Source organism: Homo sapiens, chromosome 17 (genome assembly GCF_000001405.40).
Source record: "Homo sapiens chromosome 17, GRCh38.p14 Primary Assembly".
Lineage (NCBI taxonomy): Eukaryota > Metazoa > Chordata > Mammalia > Primates > Hominidae > Homo > Homo sapiens.
In genome coordinates, this window is record NC_000017.11 from 64,943,226 (window position 1) to 64,966,348 (window position 23,123).

A 23,123-nucleotide genomic window follows, 5' to 3' on the forward strand; every position below is an offset into this window, starting at 1 on the left:
GAAGAAATGCTGAAAAGGATGAGAAGGCACTATTTTAAAATGAACGTCTGAGATTTAATCAGAAAACCATTGGTCAATAACTGTTTTAAAATCACTGAAATACAAATCATCTGACATATGTTGTTTACCTTAAGTATATACTCATTTTGTAAATTTTTTTACCCCCTGACACACACACACACACACACACACACACACAAACACACACACAAGCACTATTCCCAGCTTTCTCTTCATGGAGTAATTTAATTTATTCCATTTTAAAAATCTTAGACTCAGAAAATAATAAATAATTAAGGAATATTATAGAACCGATTACATGATTTCAGTAAGCTAAAAATGTTCACTCTGTATTTCTCACTATATCAATGAGATTCTTTATTATACAAGTGTAACAGCTCTTAAGAGCAATTAGTTAAGTAAAATTTTGTCAGAAGATATGAGGATTACTCTCTTATTTAAAAAAAGTAACTTGCCAACAAACAGGCATGATTGAATTAGAGAAGCTTCAGTTTTTTGTGACCCTGCTCCTGAAGTGAAACTTGGATCCTAAACACCAAATGGTGGGTTCACCTGCCATGATACATGACATTTGTTTTATCAAACAGCATAAACTCCGTTAAAGATGTTCCTTGAAAGGTCTAACTTCATGTATACCCTGCCATCAGAGCTGATCTACCATAGATAGACTAACAAATACCAACCGAATACAATCTAATGCACAAAGGACAGAAAAATAAATTACATTTTCCCCCAAGTTTACAAAATTGATTGCTCATTAAGATGTTTATGGCCGGGTGCAGTGGCTCACGCCTGTAATCCCAGCACTTAGGGAGGCCAAGGCAGGCAGATCACGAGGTCAAGAGATCAAGACCATCCTGGCCAACATGGTGAAACCCCGTCTCTACTAAAAATACAAATTAGCTGGGCATGGTAGCGCACCTGTTGTCCCAGCTACTCAGGAGGCTGAGGCAGGAGAATCGCTTGAACCCGGGAGGTCGAGGTTGCAGTGTGCTGAGTTTGTGCCACTGCACTCCAGCCTGGTGACAGGGCAAGACTCTGTCTAAAAAATAATAATAAAATAAGAAGATGTTTATATGTACATCTTAATTTAATTCACTATCTCAGATTATTTTTAAATTTGCCTTTAAGCTTAATGGAAAATTCCCCTGAACTGTGGTATAATTTGAGTTCAAAATGTATTAATCATATCCAAATCTTCATCTTGAATTAGGAAATGTTCATTTATTATAAGCCATTTCTAAAATTGCTTTTAAACCTATACAATATGAATATGATTGGGTTACTAAGGTAAGCCTGGACATGATAAAGTAGGTTGTAAAAATTTAGAATTTTTAATCCCAGTAATCAAATCAGCATTCTAGGAAATCAAGTATGATATCTATTGAAAGGGTGATGACACCTGAATTATGGTATTATGCTTTTATAGCCAGCTTCTGAAACTGTAATATCACTGAGTATCACAGACAAGACACAATAATAAGGTTACCCGCAGAGAAAAGGTAAAATGCCTTGTAAATTTAACTTTCTAGATTTTCAAGTTTCAAGTTTTTGTACTAAATACTAAAGTTGTACTAAAGTTGAAGCCTTATGTTCAGAAATGTTCCTGTATCTAAAAAATAAGCTTATGGCATTTCCCCATAAAACACATTTCTAAGTCCCAAGATGGAGTAATTAGAGAGATGTTTCTGCATGGAATTCTATAAATTGTCACACCTGTTTAGTTGAACAATGAATGAAAATATGCAGACTTGAACAGAATTCAAGAAATTATTAAAAGACTTACACTTTACCAGCAGAAATTACTTAATATAGGAAAAACATCAGTCATTTTTCAGGGAGTCATCAAGGGATTTTTAAATCACTAAAAATGACAAATAAGAAGCGGAAAATTATCACAATTATATAAGCAGTATTACTGCGATGTACAGAACATCTGTCACCAGTGATAGCCATTCAACATTCTACAAGGGGAGCCAATTGACGCATTCAATATTACAAGGCTAAAAGCAGTTATTACTTTTTTTCACTTTTAAAACAAAACGCAATCATGTAATTTTCAGTTAGTATAAAAATTGAATGCACCCTGAGTCAAAAATAAGCAGGTATCATATTTTCCATATGGCCATTTGTAGCAAATCATACATTTCATTTTTGAGAAATGGTATATTTTTCAAAGTATTTTTCTGTGTGTTAATAAAACATGGAGAGAAAGCTGTGATTCTTTCTTTCTATACATGGCAATAAGAGTGTACAATACTCAGTCAGACACGGTGGCTCATGCCTGTAATCCCAGCACTTTAGGAGGCCGAGGCCGGTGGATCATGAGGTCAGGAGTTCAAGACCATCCTGGCTAACATGGTGAAACCCCATCTCTACTAAAAATACAAAACATTAGCTGGGCATGGTGGCATGCGCCTGTAGTCCCAGCTACTCTGGAGGCTGAAGCAGGAGAATCACTTGAACCCAGGAGGCGAAGTTTGCAGTGAGTCAAGATCGTGCCACTGCACTCCAGCATGGGCAACAGAGTGAGACTCTGTCTCAAAAAAAAAAAAAAAAGAAAAAGAAAACCAGAGTGTACAATACTCAAATATAACTCTGTGATTTCAGACTAAAAAATTGTGTAGCACTTATTTTCAAATATGTCTGTCAGAAGAGAATGATAATACTTTGAACTTCTTTTAAGATTAAGAACATCCCCACATCTTGTACTCTTCTCATTATCAAACATTTATTCAATACCTTATATATGCTGTAAAATAGGGCTGTAAATTTGAATCAATCACAGGCTTTGCTGTCAAGAACTTTGCAAATCAGTAGGAGAAGTAAAGGAAGGGGATTTTTGCAGAAGTGAAGGAAAAGAAGAGAGACTTTATTCTAGAGAAGATATAATATATGAGTGATGGCAGAGAAAATATGAATGTATATGGCCTGTTCATAATACACTCACTAACACTAGTTGATTAGAGCAAATGATTGGTTAAGAAAATATTGAAAAATGCTTATAAAAGTAGATAGACATCAATTACATAAACACCTGAATGCCATAAAAAGGATACCGGATTTGACTGTATTCACAAAATGGTGGAAATAAAATTAAATGAGAAGTTGTTATGCCAAACAATAGCAAAAGTACCCAAAGCTAAAATTAATTAAATGCTTACCAAGTATTTTACATTAATTGGTTCATTTCATCTTAAGAAAAACACATGAAAAATGCTACTCAATTCTCTTTCCCCTTAAATTCATCCTCTTGACAGTGTTCCATTTACTGGTTTCCTCATTTATATTAGTGAATTTCATTTTTAAACAATTACCAAATTATAGTGAAGTCAGGACCACTTTACAAGAAATTGATCTTTATGCCTAATTATACATAATTGATTTTAGTTAAATGTCCCAAATTACTGTTTCTACTTGAAAGGGCCCTGTTTAGAATCACTGAAGAGTTGCTTGTTTCACTGGAAACACAGAAAAGTTCTGAAAATTAAACAGAAAGAGAGAGAAAGCCACATTGACATTTGCTGTTCTGTGTCGGTGGTGTAGCTTTTTTTCAGATGAACTCTCTCACTGAAAACTACAAAAGTTCTGTATAAAAACACACAGAAATCTGCACAAAGTCCTTTAAGAACGAACAAAACCAGGCAGAAATAGAATGCATGAGTAAACTCAAAAACTTATCCAAAGAAATTATCTAATCTGAAGAATAGTGAGAGGACCACAAATGGTTGAACTAAAATGAACAGAGCCTCAGTGACCAGTAGGAGAATTCTGAGTCTACCATATGTGTAACTGTAGAAGGAAGGGATAGAGATATTTTGGCAAATAACTCCTTGGCAAATATTTGGCAAATATCAAAAGAGGCTGAATTAAAATTCTGGTAGAATTTTTAAAATAAATTGACAGGTGAATTCTAAGATTTATATGTATATGCAAAGGATCTAGAATAGTCAGAACAATTTTGATAAAGACTAAGAAACTGGAGGATTTGTTTCATAGAACCTCAAGTTTTAATATAAATATACACTATCAAGAGACACTGGTATTGGCCAAGGAAAGAAAAACAGACCAATAGCATAGAATAGAGATTACAGAACTAGACATACACACATATGTGTTTAATTTATTTTTGATAAGATGCCAAGCAAATCTATGGGTAAAAGAAAGAGTTGCCACATGGTGCTGAACTGTATTTCCATATATTAAAAAAAATAAACCAACCTTCCATGAAATGCAAAAATTAACTGAGTGGATAATAAACCTTAACAGAGGGCTAAATAACTGTATGTATTCTAGAAGAACACATTGAAGAAATTACTTGTGACTTTGGAAAATGCAAATGTTTCCTAAAGAAGGCACAACACCTACAAAATGTGTTTTAAAACGATAAATTGATTTTATTAACATTGAAAACTTTTGCTTATCAAAATACATGAAAAAAAAATAAAAAGGTGGCCGGGCACAGTGGCTCACACCTGTAATCCCAGCACTTTGGGAGGCTGAGGCGGGCAGATCATGAGGTCAGGAGACCAAGACCATCCTGGCCAACATGACGAAACCCCGTCTCTACTAAAAAGACAAGAAAAAAAAATTAGCTGGGCGTGGTGGCGCGTGCCTGTAGTCCCAGCTACTCGGGAGGCTGAGGTAGGAGAATTGCTTGAACCCAGGAGGTGGAGGTCACAGTAAGCCGAGATCGTGCCACTGCACTCCAGCCTGGCGACAGAGTAAGACTCTGTCTCTAAATAAATAAATAAATAAATATCAAAAAAATAAAGAGCCAGAGACAGAAAAAAAATTATTTGTACTATATGCATACCTGACAAGTGACTTCTATCTAGGACATACACAGTTTGACAGATTAATTTTCCAACTTCTATCAGAATTGAGTCTCAAAATAGGATTAAAGTTCAATTATTAAACATGAAGAAAGTTATATCTGATTTAGCTCCTGCCTGCTTTTCTTTCCATGAACCAAATTCTATTCTTCATAAATTCTACCCACTGGTGAGTGTTATGCAAATGGAGAAATATGTACTTTACATTGGAAAATAATCTGTCTACCTCTGATTTAAACTGCTAACTATTTTAAATGTCTTACACTATTCTCTGCTAGTCAGATTGGATCTCTTGTTATCTGTCCAAAATGGTAACTGAAGTTACTGAACTGTAAAATTACTATGCTATACATTATTAGTTCATGACACATTTTCAAATATGAATGTGACGTAGAAACAGGTGATTGTCAGTTTAACTCTATCTCTAACCCCCTGCCATGTAGAGAATTGAACTAGCCCTCACTCTCATAAGTGGAATTTTAAAAAATAATGTGAGTTGGCCGGGCGCGGTGGCTCACTCCTGTAATCCCAGCACTTTGGGAGGCCGAGGCGGGCGGATCACGAGGTCAGGAGATCGAGACCACGGTGAAACCCCGTCTCTACTAAAAATACAAAAAATTAGCCGGGCGCAGCGGCGGGCGCCTGTAGTCCCAGCTACTCGGGAGGCTGAGGCAGGAGAATGGCGTGAACCCGGAAGGCGGAGCTTGCAGTGAGCGGAGATCGCGCCACAGCAGTCCCGCCTGGGCGACAGAACGAGACTCCGTCTCAAAAAAAAAAAAAAAAAAAAAAAAAATGTGAGTTACATGAGCTGATAAGCACACATGTATAGTCAACGTTAAGGCTTAGTATTTATGAAATTTGGAATGATGATTTATGGCAAATGTTTAACACATTTAATAATGTAAATACTTTTTAAGGCATTGAATAGGTAGGAGTTCATATAAGTTTACTCTGGGTTGGTTGTTTACTGAACTGTAAACATTTTTTATTCATTGAATGCCATTGCAAAACCTTTTTAACATCACTCATCTTGGGTTCAAACATCCCAGCATCCTTACAAATAAACTTTCCTATCTTGAAACTAAATTTGTTTTTGTTTTTGCTTTAATTTAGTCTTAAACTAAAAACAATGAGTTTATTTTCTGACAATCACCTGTTTCTACATCACATTCATATTTGAAAATGTGTCATGAACTAATAATGTATAGCATAGTAATTTTAACATTTCCTTGCATTGATCAAAAATACACCTTTAAAATTTAGCAATAAATCTTATACAATTACAATGAATCACTTTCTAATGGATGCACAAATCTTATATAACGTTTTCAAATTTGGGATTACAATGAAGAATAAATTTTCATGTGGCTTTAGATTAGATTTTAATTCTTAATTTTACTTTTATAATGTTTGAAAATTAAGTTTGACCTCATGGCTAATTATTCTTAGATATACTCTATTTCACAATATTTGAGATATCTGAAAAATCAAGAATTTGTTTTTCTAAGAGCTCTTTAGTTTTGAAATAGGATTGTCATACTCTACACCATAATTATTTGCAGTCTTAAAGTAAATTTGTATTAGAAGTGGGTTATTAAACTGCTTTAGGTATGACAACTATAGTATTCCAAATGATATGAATTCCAAAATTCTGTTTGGAATGAAATTCAGGAGCAACGAGAATTTGACATAAAGGCTAGTTTTATAATAATCATCGGTTGATAAGGCATTAGAAATATTAATTTTTTTTCTTTTTTTTTTTTTTTTGAGACAGAGTCTCGCTCTGTCGCCCAGGCTGGAGTGCAGTGGGGCGATCTCGGCTCACTGCAAGCTCCACCTCCCAGATTCACACCATTCTCCTGCCTCAGCCTCCCGAGTAGCTGGGACTACGGCGCCCGCCACCACACCTGGCTAATTTTTTGTATTTTTAGTAGAGATGGGGTTTCACTGTGTTAGCCAGGATGGTCTCAATCTCCTGACCTCGTGATCTGCCCGCCTCGGCCTCCCAAAGTGCTGGCATTATGGGCATGAGCCACCGCGCCCGGCCGAAATATTAATTTTCTGTACTTTTACTATGACTCATTAGAACATAATCTCAATTATGAATCCAGATTCATATATAAAATAATATATATTAATATGCACAGTTGATCATTGTGGAAAATATACATATATTAATTTCTGAAGAGTTTTGAAGAAACCAATAATAAAATATTAGAAAATATGTATGAAATAACCAGATAGATGATGTATTAGAAGGAGGAGCAAGTCACGTCTTACATGGATGGCAGCAGGCAAAGACAGAGAGCTTGTGCAGAGGAACTCCTTTTTTTAAAACCATCAGATCTCGTGAGACTTATTCACTATCATGAGAATAGCACAGGAAAGACCTGCCCCCATGATTCAATTACCTCCTACCAGGTCCCTCCCACAACATGTGGGAATTCCAGGTGAGACTTGGGTGGGGACACAGTCAAGCCATATCAGATGGATAGATATAGAAATATTTTATACATCTTTTAAATGTGATGCTTCCTGTACACTTTTGGCACAGGCTGTAGGTCTCAAAATAATGCAAAAAGTACCCCTATTATAGTTACTGAACCTTCACAGGGCAATCATTCTAGTTTTCTCAGGATAGTACTAGTTTATGCTCATGGAGTAGAAGATAGAATATTGCCGAAGTATCAGTTGTCTCCATTGGAGCCAAACTTGAAGAAGCTGTGTGATAAGACTTAATGGGGAGCTGGGTGCAGTGGCTCACGCCTGTAATCCCAGCACTTTTGGAGGCTGAGGCGGGCGGATCACCTGAGGTCAGGAGTTTGAGACCAGCCTGGCCAACATGGTGGAACCCTCTCTCTATTAAAAATACAAAAATTATCCAGGCATGGTGGCACGCAAGGCAATTATCTATAAACCCTGTGACAAGACTGGTAGCCTCAATTCTCCTAAGTAACATAAACATAACTCATAATTTCCTGTGGTTCCTACTGACCAAGCTCACTGGCAGCCAGGAAGCCTTGGCTGGAAGAGCAGTATTATTAGTAACCTTCTCTTCATACCAACTGAAATAAGGAGGAATTAGCTAGTTTTTGGCTGCTTGGGTCTTCAAAGTCCTACAAGCTGCCCTCGAATAATTGATACGATACAATTTGCATCTGGAAAGCATTGAAAAAGAGAGGTAGGTTATCACTGGTTACATTACCATATTATCCTCATGTTAAAAAATAATTTTCTGCTTATGTATATCTCTATAGTTCACACTCCTAGAAAAGATGATGGCAGAATTTAAAGCACCAAGTGGTGATTTATCAAACCCATCCCTATTTATTTTAATGCAACTATAAATAATAGTACTTGGTTAAAAAATCCAGGACGAATGGTATATATATGTATATATATGTATTTTTTTATCTGAAAATTGTTCATCACATTCACAAATGAAACTATTTGAAGTAATGTTGCTGCATTTTCCACGGAAACAGATATGTGGTTGACATCGGCCAATTATTTCTGAGCAATTCATTCCTATAACAATGAAAAAAGGTTTATTTACATTGCATGTCAATATTATAATCATCAGTTTTCCCTCAATTCTTTAATAAAAATGTCAAATTCTGACAAATATAATTTCAGTTATGAAACCATGTTATATGATGCTGCATTTAAATTGAAATAAAAATTAATTTTGATACTTTACATAAGTTTTTCCTCTTCTGACCCCAGACTATAATATCCAAATATTTTTTCTGGCTAGTGGTATTTGAACTTTATTTAATTTACATAATATTTTAAAATTTTAATTGTTTTTTCATGGTAGATAATATTAGTACATGTAAGTACCAGTTTTTCAACTTACACTGATAATATTGCAGTGGTAATTTACAAAGTGACACATTCAAATGTGCATTGTGTCTCACCCTTATGCCCTAGCCAAAGGAACAATTCAAAATGAGAAACAGCTGCCTGGATTTTCAGAATATGTGCACAAACTTGCAAATTCAACACTTCTTTGCCCTTGCTGGCCTATCAAATTTTCCAAATCTCACTTACACATACTATTGTGGTCCCACTATATCAGGTGACATAGCCTTCCATAACATACTTGTACTATGCATATTTAATCATCTTATAATACGCTTAGTAGAGGAATGTGCCTTGGAAATCTCAGGGCATAGCAAGTGGACAAATGCTGTTACAAAACAACTGCATGTAATTTGGCAATATGCTTTTTTCCTCAGTTTAATTAAGCTCTTAATTTAATTTATAAGCAGCTTTTGCCATTATCATTGATGTCTTTCCAATTCCTTATATACTGACATCCCTGCCTCACTAATGCGGAACTCTTCTTTCTTCATTTACCTCCAAGCAATCCTAAACATAATGAAAATATAAATAATGAAATTATAAATAAAAATCATTATGTTTCAAAATGTTTTCCAAACATAAAAACTAAATTAACAGTAGAATGCTTAATAGTCCATGCCCTAATTACCTAATTAAACCTTAGTGAGTTTTATGAGCTAAATTGTGCCCACCCACCCCCACCAAATTCACATGTTGAAGTCCTAACCCTCAGTATCTTACAGTATCCATATTTGGAGACAACGTCTTTAGAGAAGTACACAATTAAGGTTAAATAAGGTCAGTAGGGTGCGTCCTAATCCAATGTGACTGGCGTGCTTCTAAGAGGAGAACATTTACACACAGACACACACATTGCTTTCGCACCAGGTAGGTGGACTACAACAGTCTAAGTATGAATGTGGATGAGGGACGTCACTCAGGTATTCTTGCTACGCTAACTTTTGCCAACAGTATGGATGACTTTAAGTGTATACGTAATGACAGGTTATTTACGTCTCTTCTCCAGCTCATTTTTAGGATCTGTCCTCCTTAACCCCCACTTTGGGAATTCAGACCACCTTACTAATAGGTTTGAATTCCTAGCTGGGCACATATGCAGTGGTAGGGCTTTCTTGACACATGCATTCCAGAATAATCTAGTAATTTGCAGTTGTTCACCTGTTATGTCCTCTCCTTTTTCAAGAGAGCTACATTCAATGTGGATTTAGATTATGCTAATAAAGACAGCGTTCTTACCTGTGTGCAGATCATCTCAAAACAAAATTTTTGGCCAGGCACAGTGGCTCATGCCTGTAATGCCAGCCCTTTGGGAGGCCGAGGTGGGCAGATCACCTGAGGTCACGATTTGGAGAACAGCCTGGCCAACATGGTGAAACCCTGTCTCTACTTGAAACACAAAAAACAGCTGTGCTTGGTGGCACACGCTTGTAATCCCAGCTACTTGGTAGGCTGAGGCAGGAGAATTGCTTGAAACCAGGAGGCGGAGGTTGCCGTGGGCCAAGATCACACCACTGCACTGCAGCCTCGGCAACAGAGCAAGACTCCATCTCAAAAAAAAAAAAAAAAAAAAAAAAAAAGATTGAGTACATTCATAATGCTGAGTACAATAAATTTCCACAAAACTTATAATGAAATCTGGATCCATATTTCTTCTTGATGGCTTCTCCCACGTCTTGAGTCCATGATTGACCTTATATTTTATTTCTTCTGCACTCCTGCCTATTCAAGCAATTCATGGCTCTGAAGGAGCGCATTGGCTGGAGATACAGCCTCCTCTTCGTGGGCCTACTACAGTTAAACATTGTCGTCTTCGGAGCACTGCTCAGACCCATCATCATCAGAGGACCAGCGTCACCAAAAATAGTCATCCAGGAAAATCGGAAAGAAGCACAGTATATGCTTGAAAATGAGAAAACACGAACCTCAATAGACTCCATTGACTCAGGAGTAGAACTAACTACCTCACCTAAAAATGTGCCTACTCACACTAACCCAGAACTGGAGCCGAAGGCAGACCTGCAGCAGGTCCTGGTGAAGACCAGCCCCAGGCCAAGCAAAAAGAAAGCCCCGCTATTAGACTTCTCCATTTTGAAAGAGAAAAGTTTTATTTGTTATGCATTATTTGGTCTCCTTGCGACACTGTGATTCTTTGCACCTTCCTTGTACATCATTCCTCTGGGCATTAGTCTGGGCATTGACCAGGACAGCGCTGCTTTTTTATTATCTACAATGGCCATTGCAGAAGTTTTCAGGAGGATCGGAGCTGGTTTTGTCCTCAACAGAGAGCCCATTCGTGTGATTTACATTGAGCTCATCTGCGTCATCTTATTGACTGTGTCTCTGTTTGCCTTTACTTTTGCTAGGGAATTCTGGGGTCTAATGTCATGTAGCGTATTTTTTGGGTTTATGGTTGGAACAACAGGAGGGACCCACATTCCACTGCTTGCTGAGGATGATGTTGTGGGCATTGAGAAGATGTCTTCTGCAGCTGGGGTCTACATCTTCATTCAGAGCATAGCAGGACTGGCTGGACCACCCCTTGCGGGTAATTTAAATACACAAAATACAAGCGCTTGTCTACTTTCCCTTATGAATTGTGCTAGCTTCCTGTTCAAGCCATAAAAAAACTTACTGCTGTTTTATATTTCCATTGAATTTTAGAGCTGCCAGGGATTAGAGATTACTTGAGCCAGCCCTCTTGATTTAAATATGAGGAAACTGGCCAGGCACGGTGGCTCACGCCTGTAATCCCAGCACTTCCGGAGATCAAAACCATCCTGACTAATACGGTGAAACCCCGTCTCTGCTAAAAATACAAAAAATTAGCTGGCATGTGTGGTGGTGGGCACCTGTAGACCCAGCTACTCGGGAGGCTGAGGCAGGAGAATGGCGTGAACCCAGGAGGTGGAGCTTGCAGTGAGCCGAGATCATGCCACTGCACTCCAGCCTGGGCGACAAAGCGAGACTCTGTCTCAAAAATAAATAAATAAATAAATAAATAAATAAATAAATAAGGAAACTGAAGGCCAAAGAATTGAAACCAAAGGTCACATGGTAAATTAGTGGTTGAATCAGGACTGGAAGCTGTGTCTGCAGTCCAGAACTGACCCAGGCTTTTTTTTTTTTTTTTTTTTTGAGACGGAGATTCGCTTTGTCACCAGACTGGAGTGCAGTGGCCCGATCTCGGCTCACTGCAACCTCCTCCTCCCGGGTTCACGCCATTCTCCTGCCTCAGCCTTCCAAGTAGCTGGGACTACAGGCGCCCACCACCACGCCCGGCTAAGTTTTGTATTTTTAGTAGAGACGGGGTTTCACCATGTTGGCCAGGATGGTCTTGATTTCTTGACCTCATGATCCGCCCGCCACGGCTTCCCAAAGTACTGGGATTATAGGTGTGAGCCACCGTGCCCGGTCGACCCAGGCTTTTTCTGTCACCTTGCCTTCTCTCATGCTAGACAGGAACGCATGGATTTATCACCTTCAGAGCCCACCTGACTTTTGGAATGACAGAAATATCGGACTTCTGTAAGTCATCTTCCCTTCTTAGGAAAGGTATTTGGGAATAGAAAGCAGCACTCTGTAAATACCTAATTGATTTGTATAGAATGTTTCCTTGTAAGAGGGACATAGGTATGTTTCATAGCTTAGATCCCAAATGGGTCTTTAAAGTGTTGTGATTAGAAATTGTACCCCCTGTCAAAAGATACCTACAGTGGCCAGGCGCAGTGGCTAATGCCTCTAATCCCAACACTTTGGGAGGATGAGGCGGGCAGATCATTTGAGGTCAGGAGTTCCAGACCAGCCTGGTCAACATGGCAAAACCCCGTCTCTACTAAAAATACGAAAAGTAGCCGGGCATGGTGGCAGGCGCCTGTAATCCCAGCTATTCGGGAGGCTGAGCTGGGAGAATCGCTTGAACCTGGGAGGCGGAGGTTGCAGTGACCCAAGATCGTGCCATCGCACTCCAGCTGGGGCGACAAGAATAAAACTCAGTCTCAAAACAAACAAACAAACAAACAAACACCTAAAGTGAACTCAAGTGAAAATAATACAGTTCCTTCCTACCGAAGAATATTACCTTTTCAAAGAAGTATGCATCGAAATGTCCCAGGTTTTAGGTCCTCTGCTAGGACAGGCTTAGCCCAAGAAGAACAAGTATATTGGGTGTTTGTCTCTTTCTCCTCTCCAGTCTAGTAAAGATTTCTGCCCTTAACACCCATTTTTCTTTAGAAACACAAAAGAAAACAAGGAAGGCAATGAAACTGAGAGGCTTCTGAATGGGATGGTCGCCTGGGTGAGGGGCTTATGTCTAGGAAGGATGCTGTTAACGGACGCCATGCTCTCTTCCAGGTTTGTTGGTGGACCAAAGTAAGATCTACAGCAGGGCCTTCTACTCCTGCGCAGCTGGCATGGCCCTGGCTGCTGTGTGCCTCGCCCTGGTGAGACCGTGTAAGATGGGACTGTGCCAGCATCATCACTCAGGTGAAACAAAGGTAGTGAGCCATCGTGGGAAGACTTTACAGGACATACCTGAAGACTTTCTGGAAATGGATCTTGCAAAAAATGAGCACAGAGTTCACGTGCAAATGGAGCCGGTATGACACACTTTCTTACAACAACAGCCACTGTGTTGGCTGGAGAGGGATGGGGTGGGCCCAACGGAGACACAAGGAGGTAGAGGAGCTAACCCCTCTACTCCACTTTCAAAACTACATTTTAAAGGGAATGTGTATGTGAAGAGCACTACCAACATCGCTTTTGTTTTAAGTTTTCCTTTTTGCTTGTTTTTAAAGCCAAAACAAAAAACAACCAAGCACTCTTCCATATATAAATCTGGCTGTATTCAGTAGCAATACAAAAGATATGTAGAAAGACTCTTTGGTTCACATTCCAATATTAAAATAGTGACACGAACTGGCAAAGTGGTTTTAAAAGCTTTCACATGGGATAAATGATTTTCTTTCTTTCTTTTCTTTCTTCGTATGGTCTTGTCAGAATAAACTACTATCTTGAATAAAACAACATCCAACCCAGGTCATTGAAATGAAATTGGCCAGTCAAAAAAAAAAAAAAAGACTTCAATCATTTAAAAAATTCCTAATTTTCAGAAATATGAATAAATGGTTTTTGTTAAACCCTTTGTAAAATACTGAGGTTCCCATTAACAAATTATGGCTTCTGCTTGCTGGAAATGAAGTATAGTTTAAGACCAAACATTTTACTAATAAGCAAATTTTAAGTACATATATAACTTGAACTTCATAAATGTGAAGATTACCACTTCTTTTTATGGCCAGTCCTTACCAGAAGTGTTTCAGTACAGAATATACAAAATGGCATTTAAAAATGTGTTTCCTGTTGCTTTTAGTTATACAGAAATATGTGACTGTAGTGTCTTTAATTTAAACCGCTATTTATTATTAAGTTATTCTAGGATGATTAATCAAAAGAAATAAAATCTGAGACATAAGCAGCATTTTTACCTCCTTTCTGCAGTCCTTTAAATGCCTCACAGAATACGTCTTATCTTGTAAAAAATACTTTCATAAAAGGCCAAGTTGTCATGATTCTTCCATTTGATTAAGGGCAACATGTGCTATTTAAAGGGGAAAAAATAACGGATAGCAAATCACCTTAGCTTTCAAAAATAATTTGTTTTATCATCTAAGAATACTTGAGGAACTTCTTTGATCAGAATTATATTTCATTGAACTGTTAAAGCATTTCTGATTTAAAGAAAAAACCATCTAATTGTTGAAGCATTTCTGTATTTCACATGGGGGTAACAGAGACATTTATGTTATAGCGAGTTACAAGTTGCAATTTACATCTTCTATAACTCACAACTTGATTGTTCTAAGTTGCCAGAGGTATCGGGTAACTGGTCATTGTTTTTTTGTTGTTGTTGTTGTTGTTTGTTTTATTTTTTATTTTTGGAGTCACACTACATGTATAGTATTGCTCACGTTACAGTTTTCTGTAAAGAGGACAAGTGTCAGGATAATAGGTGGACTTTTTACTCACCTATTTTACTGCAATCTCACCCTGCAGGTGACGGTCAATGCTCGCTGCTCCATCTTTACTCATCATTAATGTTAATTTATGACAACTCGGGGGAAAAACATAACAAGCCTAGTTTGGTTACAGGTACACACAAGCTTGAATATTTCTCTGCACTGAAATGAAAGTGGCATAGTTCATCACCACCTGCTACATTTTGTAGAGCATCTTACCAGCCATAGAAATAGGACAATCTATAAAACTTTGGGGAGGGTGGGGGAGGAAATGACACAGTGTCTGTCAAAAACAGGCATAATCTAAAACAAGGTGGATATAGCAAATCTCTGCCACTGCTTGAGAAGAACTTTGAGCTTGTGGCAGTTTTGCAGACTTACATGACTTCAGCACTTTACAACGTATTTTTACTATGAATGTTCAATACAATTTAATATTTATAACTGATTTCAGAGGGATCTGCTCCATGTCTATTCTGTTACCTGCATGAAAAGAGAATGCATGCCAATTTCAGTATGTCAATAATCAAGGTTTTAAATGTTTGGAAGAAAATAAAAACAAGATTGCTGATTTGTTCTGTATTAGTGACATTCTGGTACTTCTAGATTTGCAATACATTTATGGCTTTTTTATTTAAAGATACTGATTTTCTTCTGTTATAAGATTTTTTTATTGACTCTCACAGCATTCAGTATTTGATGCAATTAAAGTTATAAAAACTCACCAAAGATTCACTCCAAATAAATAATTTTTTAACGTTTATCTTCTGCAAAACCTTTTAACTCTACTAGAGACACATAAAGTTTCCCAAGAAGTGTCTACTGAACTTTTTATTTATTTATATTTACTAGTATTTTTTTTTGAGATGGAGTTTCACTCTTGTTGCCCAGACTGGAGTGCAATGGCACAATCTCAGCTCACTGCAGCCTCCCAGGTTCAAGTGATTCTCCTGCCTGAGCCTCCCGAGTAGCTGGGATTACAGGTGCCCGCCACCACGCCTGGCTAATTTTGTGTATTTTTAGTAGAGATGGGGTTTCACCATGTTGGCCAGGCTGGCCTCAAACTCCTGACCTCAGGTGATCCACCTGCCTCGGCCTCTCAAAGTGCTCGGATTACAGGTGTGAGCCATCGTGTGTGGCCTGAACTTTTAAATCATTTTTTCTGGTCATTGAAAGCAGGACAATTTTATTTTATGTTGAGTTTTTCATGCAAATTACAGCACCTTAGAAAAAGACTAAATAATTCAAGGGAAATATTAAGTAATGAATAACAGGAGAGCGAAATAAAAATTAAACAATATAATCAAATGAAGAAGCATGTTTTCATCTAAGAATTAAGAATGAAAGCAGCGATGGTATTTAATTATTAATGAAAAATACATGAATGAAATGATATCATGGTAGCCAGAGTAAGCCTATCAAAAGTCATAACGGCAAATAGTTAAAGACTACAACCAGTTACAGAATCGTTCCAAGAACTGTTGCAACCTGTAAGTAAACAGCACAGACTCTACATGCCAGGGTTTGGCAAACTTTTTCTGTAAAGGTCCAGATAGTAAATATTTAAAGCTTTGCAGGCCATGAGGCCTCTGTCTAGTCAACTCTGCCATTGAGGGTCAAAAGCAGCCACAGACAATATATAAATGAATGAATGTGGCAATGTTTCAATGGAATTTTATTTATGGATACTGAAATGTGAATTTCACAAGATTTTCATACAGGAAATATATATTTTTTCAATCACATAAAAATGTTAAACACACACACACACACACACACACACAATTAGCTCTCAAGCTGAAAAAAAAAAAATTCTAGCTCCTTCACCACATATCTGTAACACTGGCACAGATCAGTACCACCAGAAGCAAAGCTCTGAAAACTAACAGTCCTGACTCATGGGAAAGGATTCATTGTGGTCAAAGTAATTCTTAGATCATAACTGCCCCAAAATAGGAAAGATCAAGCAGCTAACACTTTTTCGTTGTTGTTGTTTTGAGACAGAGTCTTGCTCTGTCACCCCGGCTGGAGTGCAGTGGCACGATCTTGGCTCACTGCAACCTCCACCTCCCGAGTTCAAGCAATTCTCCTGCCTCAGCCTCCCAAGTAGCTGGGATTACAGGCATGCACCACCACACCCAGCTAATTTTTGTATTTTTAGTGGAGACAGGATTTTGCCATGTTGGGCAGGCTGGTCTTGAACTCCTGACCTCAAGTGATCTGCCCACCATGGCCTTCCAAAGTGCTGTGATTACAGGTGTGAGCCACCGTGCTTGGCATTATAGCTAACGTATTTGTTAATTATGTTTTCTTTTTTTTTCCTTTTTTTTTTTCTGAGATGGAGTTTCACTCTTGTTGTCCAGGCTGGAGTGCAGTGGTGCGATCTTGGCTCACTGCAACCTCCACCTCCACCACACCAGGCTGTTAATTATGTTTTCATTTCTCCTGATTAAAAAGATTCTGCTTTAAGATTGTTGACTTCAAGAAGTTTCAGTATAAACCTTATGTAGACTTTCTCTCCCCAAAACTAAAATTATTCTAGTTATAAAAATGAGTTGGGCCGGGCGCAGTGGCTCACGCCTATAATTCCAGCTCTTTGGGAGGCCGAGGCGGGTGGATCGCCTGAGGTCGGGAGTTCAATACCAGCCTGACCAACATGGAAAAACCCCGTCTCTACTAAAAATACAAAATTAGGCGGGCGTGGTGGCACATGCCTATAATCCCAGCTACTCGGGAGGCTGAGGCAGGAGAATTGCTTGAACCCGGGAGACGGAGGTTGCAGTGAGCCGAGATTGCGCCATTGCACTCCAGCCTGGGCAACAAGAGCGAAACTCCGTCTCAAAAAAAGAATTAAGATCATGTACTCTTTTAAGACCTATGTATCCGTAACTAATACAAAATGTGTCCAAACCTTTTAACAAAGTTATACATTTTATACTCCAATAGCATGTAATGTAGCTTTTGAGCATTTATTTGCCTTTCCCTTTGCTTAATACCTGGTGATAAAATAGAAAATGGATTCTATGTCAGCATTCTTGTGGCACAGATTCAAATCACCAGGTGGTATTTATTAGATTTAGATTTCCATACTCCAATTCAACTATTGTAAATTAGAAATCATCATGATCCTTCAGCTGGGCATGGTGGCTCACACCTGTAATCCCACCCAGCACTTTGAGAGGCCGAGGTGGGTGGATCACTTGAGGTCAGGAGTTCGAGACCAGCCCAGCCAACATGGTGAAATCCTGTCTCTACTAAAAATACAAAAATTAGCCGGGCATGTTGGTGCACGCCTGTAATCCCAGCTACTTGGGAGGGTGAGGCAGAAGAATCACTTGAACCTGGGAGGTGGAGGTTGCAGTGAGTCAAGATCGCGCCACTGCACCCAAGCCTGGGCAACAGAGTGAGACTCCATCTCAAAAATAATAATAATAATAAAAAATAAGAAATCATGATCCTTATTTTCACAAGTTTGCAAATATGGGGCTCACAAGGAACTAGAGTTTAGAAACCATTGCCTTTAAATCTTTAAACGGTGGCCAGGTGTGGTGGCTCATCCCTATAATCCCAGCACTTCAGGAAGCCAAGGTGAGTGAATTGCTTGAGCTCAGGAGTTCAAGACCAGCCTGGGCCACATGGTGAAACCAAAATTAGCCAGGTGTGGTGGCTCATGCCTGTGGTCCCAGCTACTCGAGAGGCTGAGGTGGGAAGATCACTTGAGCCCAGGGGGCAGAGGTTGCAATGAGTCCAGATGGCACCACTGCACACAGCCTTGGCAAAGAGTGAGAACCTGTCTCAAAAAAGAAAAATTGTAATGGTTATGCACATTACTTAAAATGACCTATTTAAGGAATTCAGACATGTTACATGCAAAAATGATCACTGCTATAAATATACATTGCATTGAGAAAAGAGAAGCTGCCCTTGTTTTCAGATTTGTGTTTATATTGCATGTGTCCTAAGTGAGGGCGATCGTAGCGTACAGCTGGGCCAGCCGCCGTTGCATAAGTAAGGAAACTGGGTCCCCCTAGTGTTCAGTTCTCATAATGACTCTCGAAAGGTGCAGAACAAGAAAAGTGGCAAGAGAACTTACAACTTCGCTATCCGTGTAACAACTCACCCAAATCAAAATTACTTCAATGACTATCCGTTTCCTACAGGGAAAGTTAGACGGGAAACCTGATGCCCAGAACATTTCCCCAAATATTATTGAGAAAATACATATTGTGGCCATGTATTTGTGTCATTTATATGCCTTTCCAGCAACTCAAGAACAAGCACGCTAACTTCCCTAACAACTTATACACCCTGGAATTCAACCAAAACTTTAAGTACCTTCTCTGCATCGACACCTCCCATTCTTAGTCTCAACTTTGTCCCTGAGCTCCTGATTTACATCTGCCTGCATGGCAGGGCATGGATATAAACTAAGCATCTTCAACTTAAAATGTCCTCAGCAGAACTCTGGATCTTCCTCCTCAAACCCACTCCTCCACACATCCAATCGGCTCTCCTTTCTAAATATATCCAGGAGCTGACTGCTTCTGCCAACTGCATCAGGACCCTTGATCCAAGCCAATATCATCTTAGCTGGATTATTACAGTAGTCTTCTAGCTGGCCTGCCTGCTTCCACTCTTGCAACATGCCACCCCATCTTAATTTTCCATACAGTAGCCAGAGTAATCTTCTTACAGCACAAGTCTGACATAAATCCTTGGCAATGAGCCCTGCGTGAACTGCCCGATGGTATTTCTTTTCCCTCTGCTCCTGTTATACTAGCCCCACTGGCTTTTTTTTTTTTTTTTTTGAGATAGAGTCTCGCTCTGTTGCCCAGGCTGGAGTGCAGTGGCATGATCTCGGCTCACTGCAACCTCTGCCTCCCAAGTTCAAGCAATTCTCCTGCCTCAGCCTCCCAAGTAGCTGGGACTACAGGCACATGCCACCACGCCCGGCTAATTTTTTGTATTTTTAATAGAGACGGGGTTTCACTATGTTAGCCAGGATGGTTTCTATCTCCTGACCTCATGATCCGCCCGCCTTGGCCTCCCAAAGTGTTGGGATTACAGGCGTGAGCCACCACGCCCAGCCCCCCCACTTTTTTTTTTTTTTTGAGATGGAGTTTCACTCTTGTTGCCCAGGCTGGAGTGCAAAGGCACAATCTTGGCTCACTGCAACTTCTACCTCTGGGTTCAAGTGATTCTCCTGCCTCAGCCTCCCGAGTATAGCTGAGATTACAGGTGCCCACCACCATGCCTGGCTAATTTTTTTTTTTTTTTTTGTATTTTTAGTAGAGATGGGGTTTTGCCATGTTAGCCATGATGGTCTCAATCTCCTGAACTGGTGATCCGCCTGCCTCGGTCTCCCGAAGTGCTGAGATTACAGGTGTGAGCCACGACACCCAGCCTCTCTTATTGTTTCTGGAATTGTTCTTCTTGTTGCAAGCTTCAGGCTTTGGCATTTGTGGTTTCCTTTGCTTGGTACTCCCTTGCCTGAGATGTATATGCAGTGTGACCCTTCAATTTGATCACTTCCAAATGCTACCTCCCTAGGGAGGCATTCCTGTCTATCCTATTCAAAATGGTACTTGTTTCTATTTGTTTACTTTGACATTAGGTTATAACAGCATCCACTTTGGGAGGCTAAGGTGGGCAGACTGCTTGAGCCCAGGAGTTTGAGACCAGCCTGGTCAACATGGTAAAACTCCTCTCTACAAAAAGTACAAAAATTAGCCAGGTGCGGTGGCACGTGCCTGTACTCCCAGCTACTTGGGAAGCTGAGGCGGGAGGACCACTTGAGCCCAGGAGGCAGAGGATATAGTGAGCCAAGATCACACCACTGCACTCTAGCCTGGATGACAGAGCAAAACTCTGTCTCAAAAAAAATTAAAAATAAAAATAAAATAAAGCATCTGTTTACTCCTTGACTCTCTGTCTCATCCACTAGTGTATTAGGGTAGGAGTTCTTTGTTCACTGCTGTATTCCCAAGGCTTTGAGCAGGGCCTGGCACCCAGTAGGTGGTGCTCCATGAATATTGTTGAATGAAAAATACATGAATGAATGAGTTATAGACTTTTTTCCCCTTTAGTTACACAAGAGAAGAAAAAGATATCTATTGACAGTTACAGCTCAAGAGAGTCTTTGCTGCTATGAAACAGCTGGATAACCACAGGACACTGAAAGCACTGTGCCGAGAACCCACCGGTTCAGCATCTGAGGATGGATGGATCTCAGACTGCCCAGCAGTAGTGTACTACATGGGTGGGTCAGTTGTAAAGAAGAAAAAACTGATCCATGAGCAGACACTAAAGAAAACAGTGGGATGAAATCAATACTGGGTTAAGTATGGCAGTCTGTGAGTTTGAACATATTGCCCCAATAGATTTTGTTTTAACTATTTTCCAGTAGACATTTTTTTTCATAATGCTTTCTTTTAATGCCTCAACTAGTCGCAAGAGCTTTACTAAATATTGCAACTCTTGGCGGGGCACGGTGGCTCACGTCAGTAATCCCAGCACTTTGGGAGACCAAGGCAGGCAGATTGCTTGAGCTCAGGAGTTCCAGACCAGCCTGGACAATGTGGAAAAAATCCCATCTCTAAAAATTAAAAATAAAAAAAATACACCGGGCATGGTGGTGCACACCTGTAATCCCAGCTACTTGGGAGGCTGAGGTGGGAGGACCACTTGACTATGGGAGGTGGAGGCTCCAGTGAGCCGTGATCATGCCACTGCACTCCAGCCTGGGCAACAGAGCGAGACCCTATTTCATAAATAAATAAATATCGCACCTCTCTTTTTTTGGTACTAAGGCAGAACTGTACATAGACTGATTTCTCCAACTTTGAGCAACCCCAGATGGCTCTACTTGAACAGAAAAGAAATTGAAAGTTTAATCGTGTATAATCCCTTGTAAACAACCTGGGGGAAAAATGGTTAGGTTCTCGCCGGTGATATTTTACTTCAATGAGGTCATGTAGCACAGTGAAAATAACGAATAACTCAGCATTAGGGAGAATTGGGATCTGATCCCATTTTTGCCATTGGTTACATGACACGCAAGTTTACTCGGCTGCTGCAGGCTTGTGTCCTCATGCATGAAATGGACTAAACAATCTCCACATTATTAATGCTTTACGACTCCGCTTTCCAAAAATGGAAATGCATTTGAAGACAATACCAGGCCCTTGAAAATGAAGACGGGAGGGTAAAAAACAAGCTGCAACAGAGAACAGTATCAAGCTTTTAAAGAAACAAGTTAACACCGAAGCCAGAGGCCTTTAATGTAGACATTAAACGGTGTCTACATACACCCTTTCAGCTTGAATGTCAGCACCGGCTGTACTGACAGAAGATTTACATGACCTTTTCCTGAAATAAGCCTTCCTCTCCTAGTAACTCAATACCACGGGTACATTTTTCCAGGTACACTAGAGTTGGGTACTGCTCTAGAGCTGCACTGTCCAATACAGTAGCCACAAGCCACATGGGGCTGTTGAGCACTTGAAAATGTGGCCAGTTGGAAGTAAGACGTACTGCAAGTGTAACATACATACAGGAATTTGAAGACGGTAAAAAAAAAAAGGATATAAAATATTCAGCATTGATATTGATTGAAATAATATTTTGGATGCACTGGATTAAATAGAATATACTATTAAAATTAACTCCACCTGCTTCTTTATGCATTTGCTAATACGACTACTAGAAACATTAAGCTTACATAGGTGGCTTGTATTATATTTCTATTGGACGGTGCCATTCTAGATATCCGAATCTACAAAGTGACTGAGATTCAAACTCTTCAATGAAGCACTTTTTAAATGCTCTACTTGAGAATTAATTCCACTCACTGCTCTGCTGCCGTCGCGGTCCTGACTTTCCAAGGCTGTGCCCAGAGCGCGGCACACGTGGCTCTCACACAGGCAGGCCTGCACGGCACGCAGCAGTGGAGGAGGTTACCCTGGGTCGCCGACGCCAGGGGAAGCCAAGCGACCGACCCCACACTTCTGAGCCCCGCCGGGGAAGTCCCCGGGCGCGGAAACAGGTGGTGCGCCGGCGGTTCGCAGCTGCTGTGCCCGCTGGCCTGGGCGCAGCCGGGGACAGCGACGCGTTTCCTGCCCGGGAAGGGCCCGAGCGCAGGGCCGGCTATAGCGGTCCCGCAGCTGCCTGCTTCGATTTTAGCACTGCTGCTCCCTAGAGGGAGCAACGCGGCCCTCTGTCCCTCGTAGGGCTTGAAATGTAAATTATTCATATCAGGGGAATGTGTGCTTCAAAAAGCAAGCTGGACAAGAACCGACGGGTAATCCTCGCCAAATTCTTCTATTTAACCCTCACCATTAAAAGTCTGAGGCCTGAAAAATCTCTTGACTGGAGAGATATTAACTCC

The 23,123-nt window shown here is 39.9% G+C and overlaps 1 long non-coding RNA gene and 1 pseudogene across 1 annotated transcript, besides 2 other annotated features; one reads left to right on the forward strand and one right to left on the reverse strand.

Moving 5' to 3' along the window:
• LOC107985000 (uncharacterized) lies at nt 130-19,539 on the reverse strand. Its single transcript, XR_001752973.3, has 3 exons — nt 13,967-19,539; nt 13,729-13,731; nt 130-140 (listed from the first exon to the last, which is right to left on the reverse strand). It is a non-coding gene; the product is annotated as an uncharacterized LOC107985000 (long non-coding RNA).
• On the forward strand, nt 10,450-13,999 carry SLC16A6P1 (SLC16A6 pseudogene 1; annotated as a pseudogene).
• Nucleotides 22,579-22,628: an enhancer, noted in NCBI's record as "active region_12602". NCBI's record gives its function as "activates an Ori minimal core promoter by ATAC-STARR-seq in GM12878 lymphoblastoid cells {active_cell/tissue: GM12878}" and the evidence as "EXISTENCE:reporter gene assay evidence [ECO:0000049][PMID:35858748]".
• Nucleotides 22,848-23,011: a silencer, noted in NCBI's record as "fragment chr17:62962191-62962354 (GRCh37/hg19 assembly coordinates)". NCBI's record gives its function as "represses an EF-1alpha promoter that drives an FKBP-Casp9 reporter gene in an ReSE screen in phorbol 12-myristate 13-acetate-treated (for megakaryocytic differentiation) K562 erythroleukemia cells {active_cell/tissue: K562(+PMA)}" and the evidence as "EXISTENCE:reporter gene assay evidence [ECO:0000049][PMID:32094911]".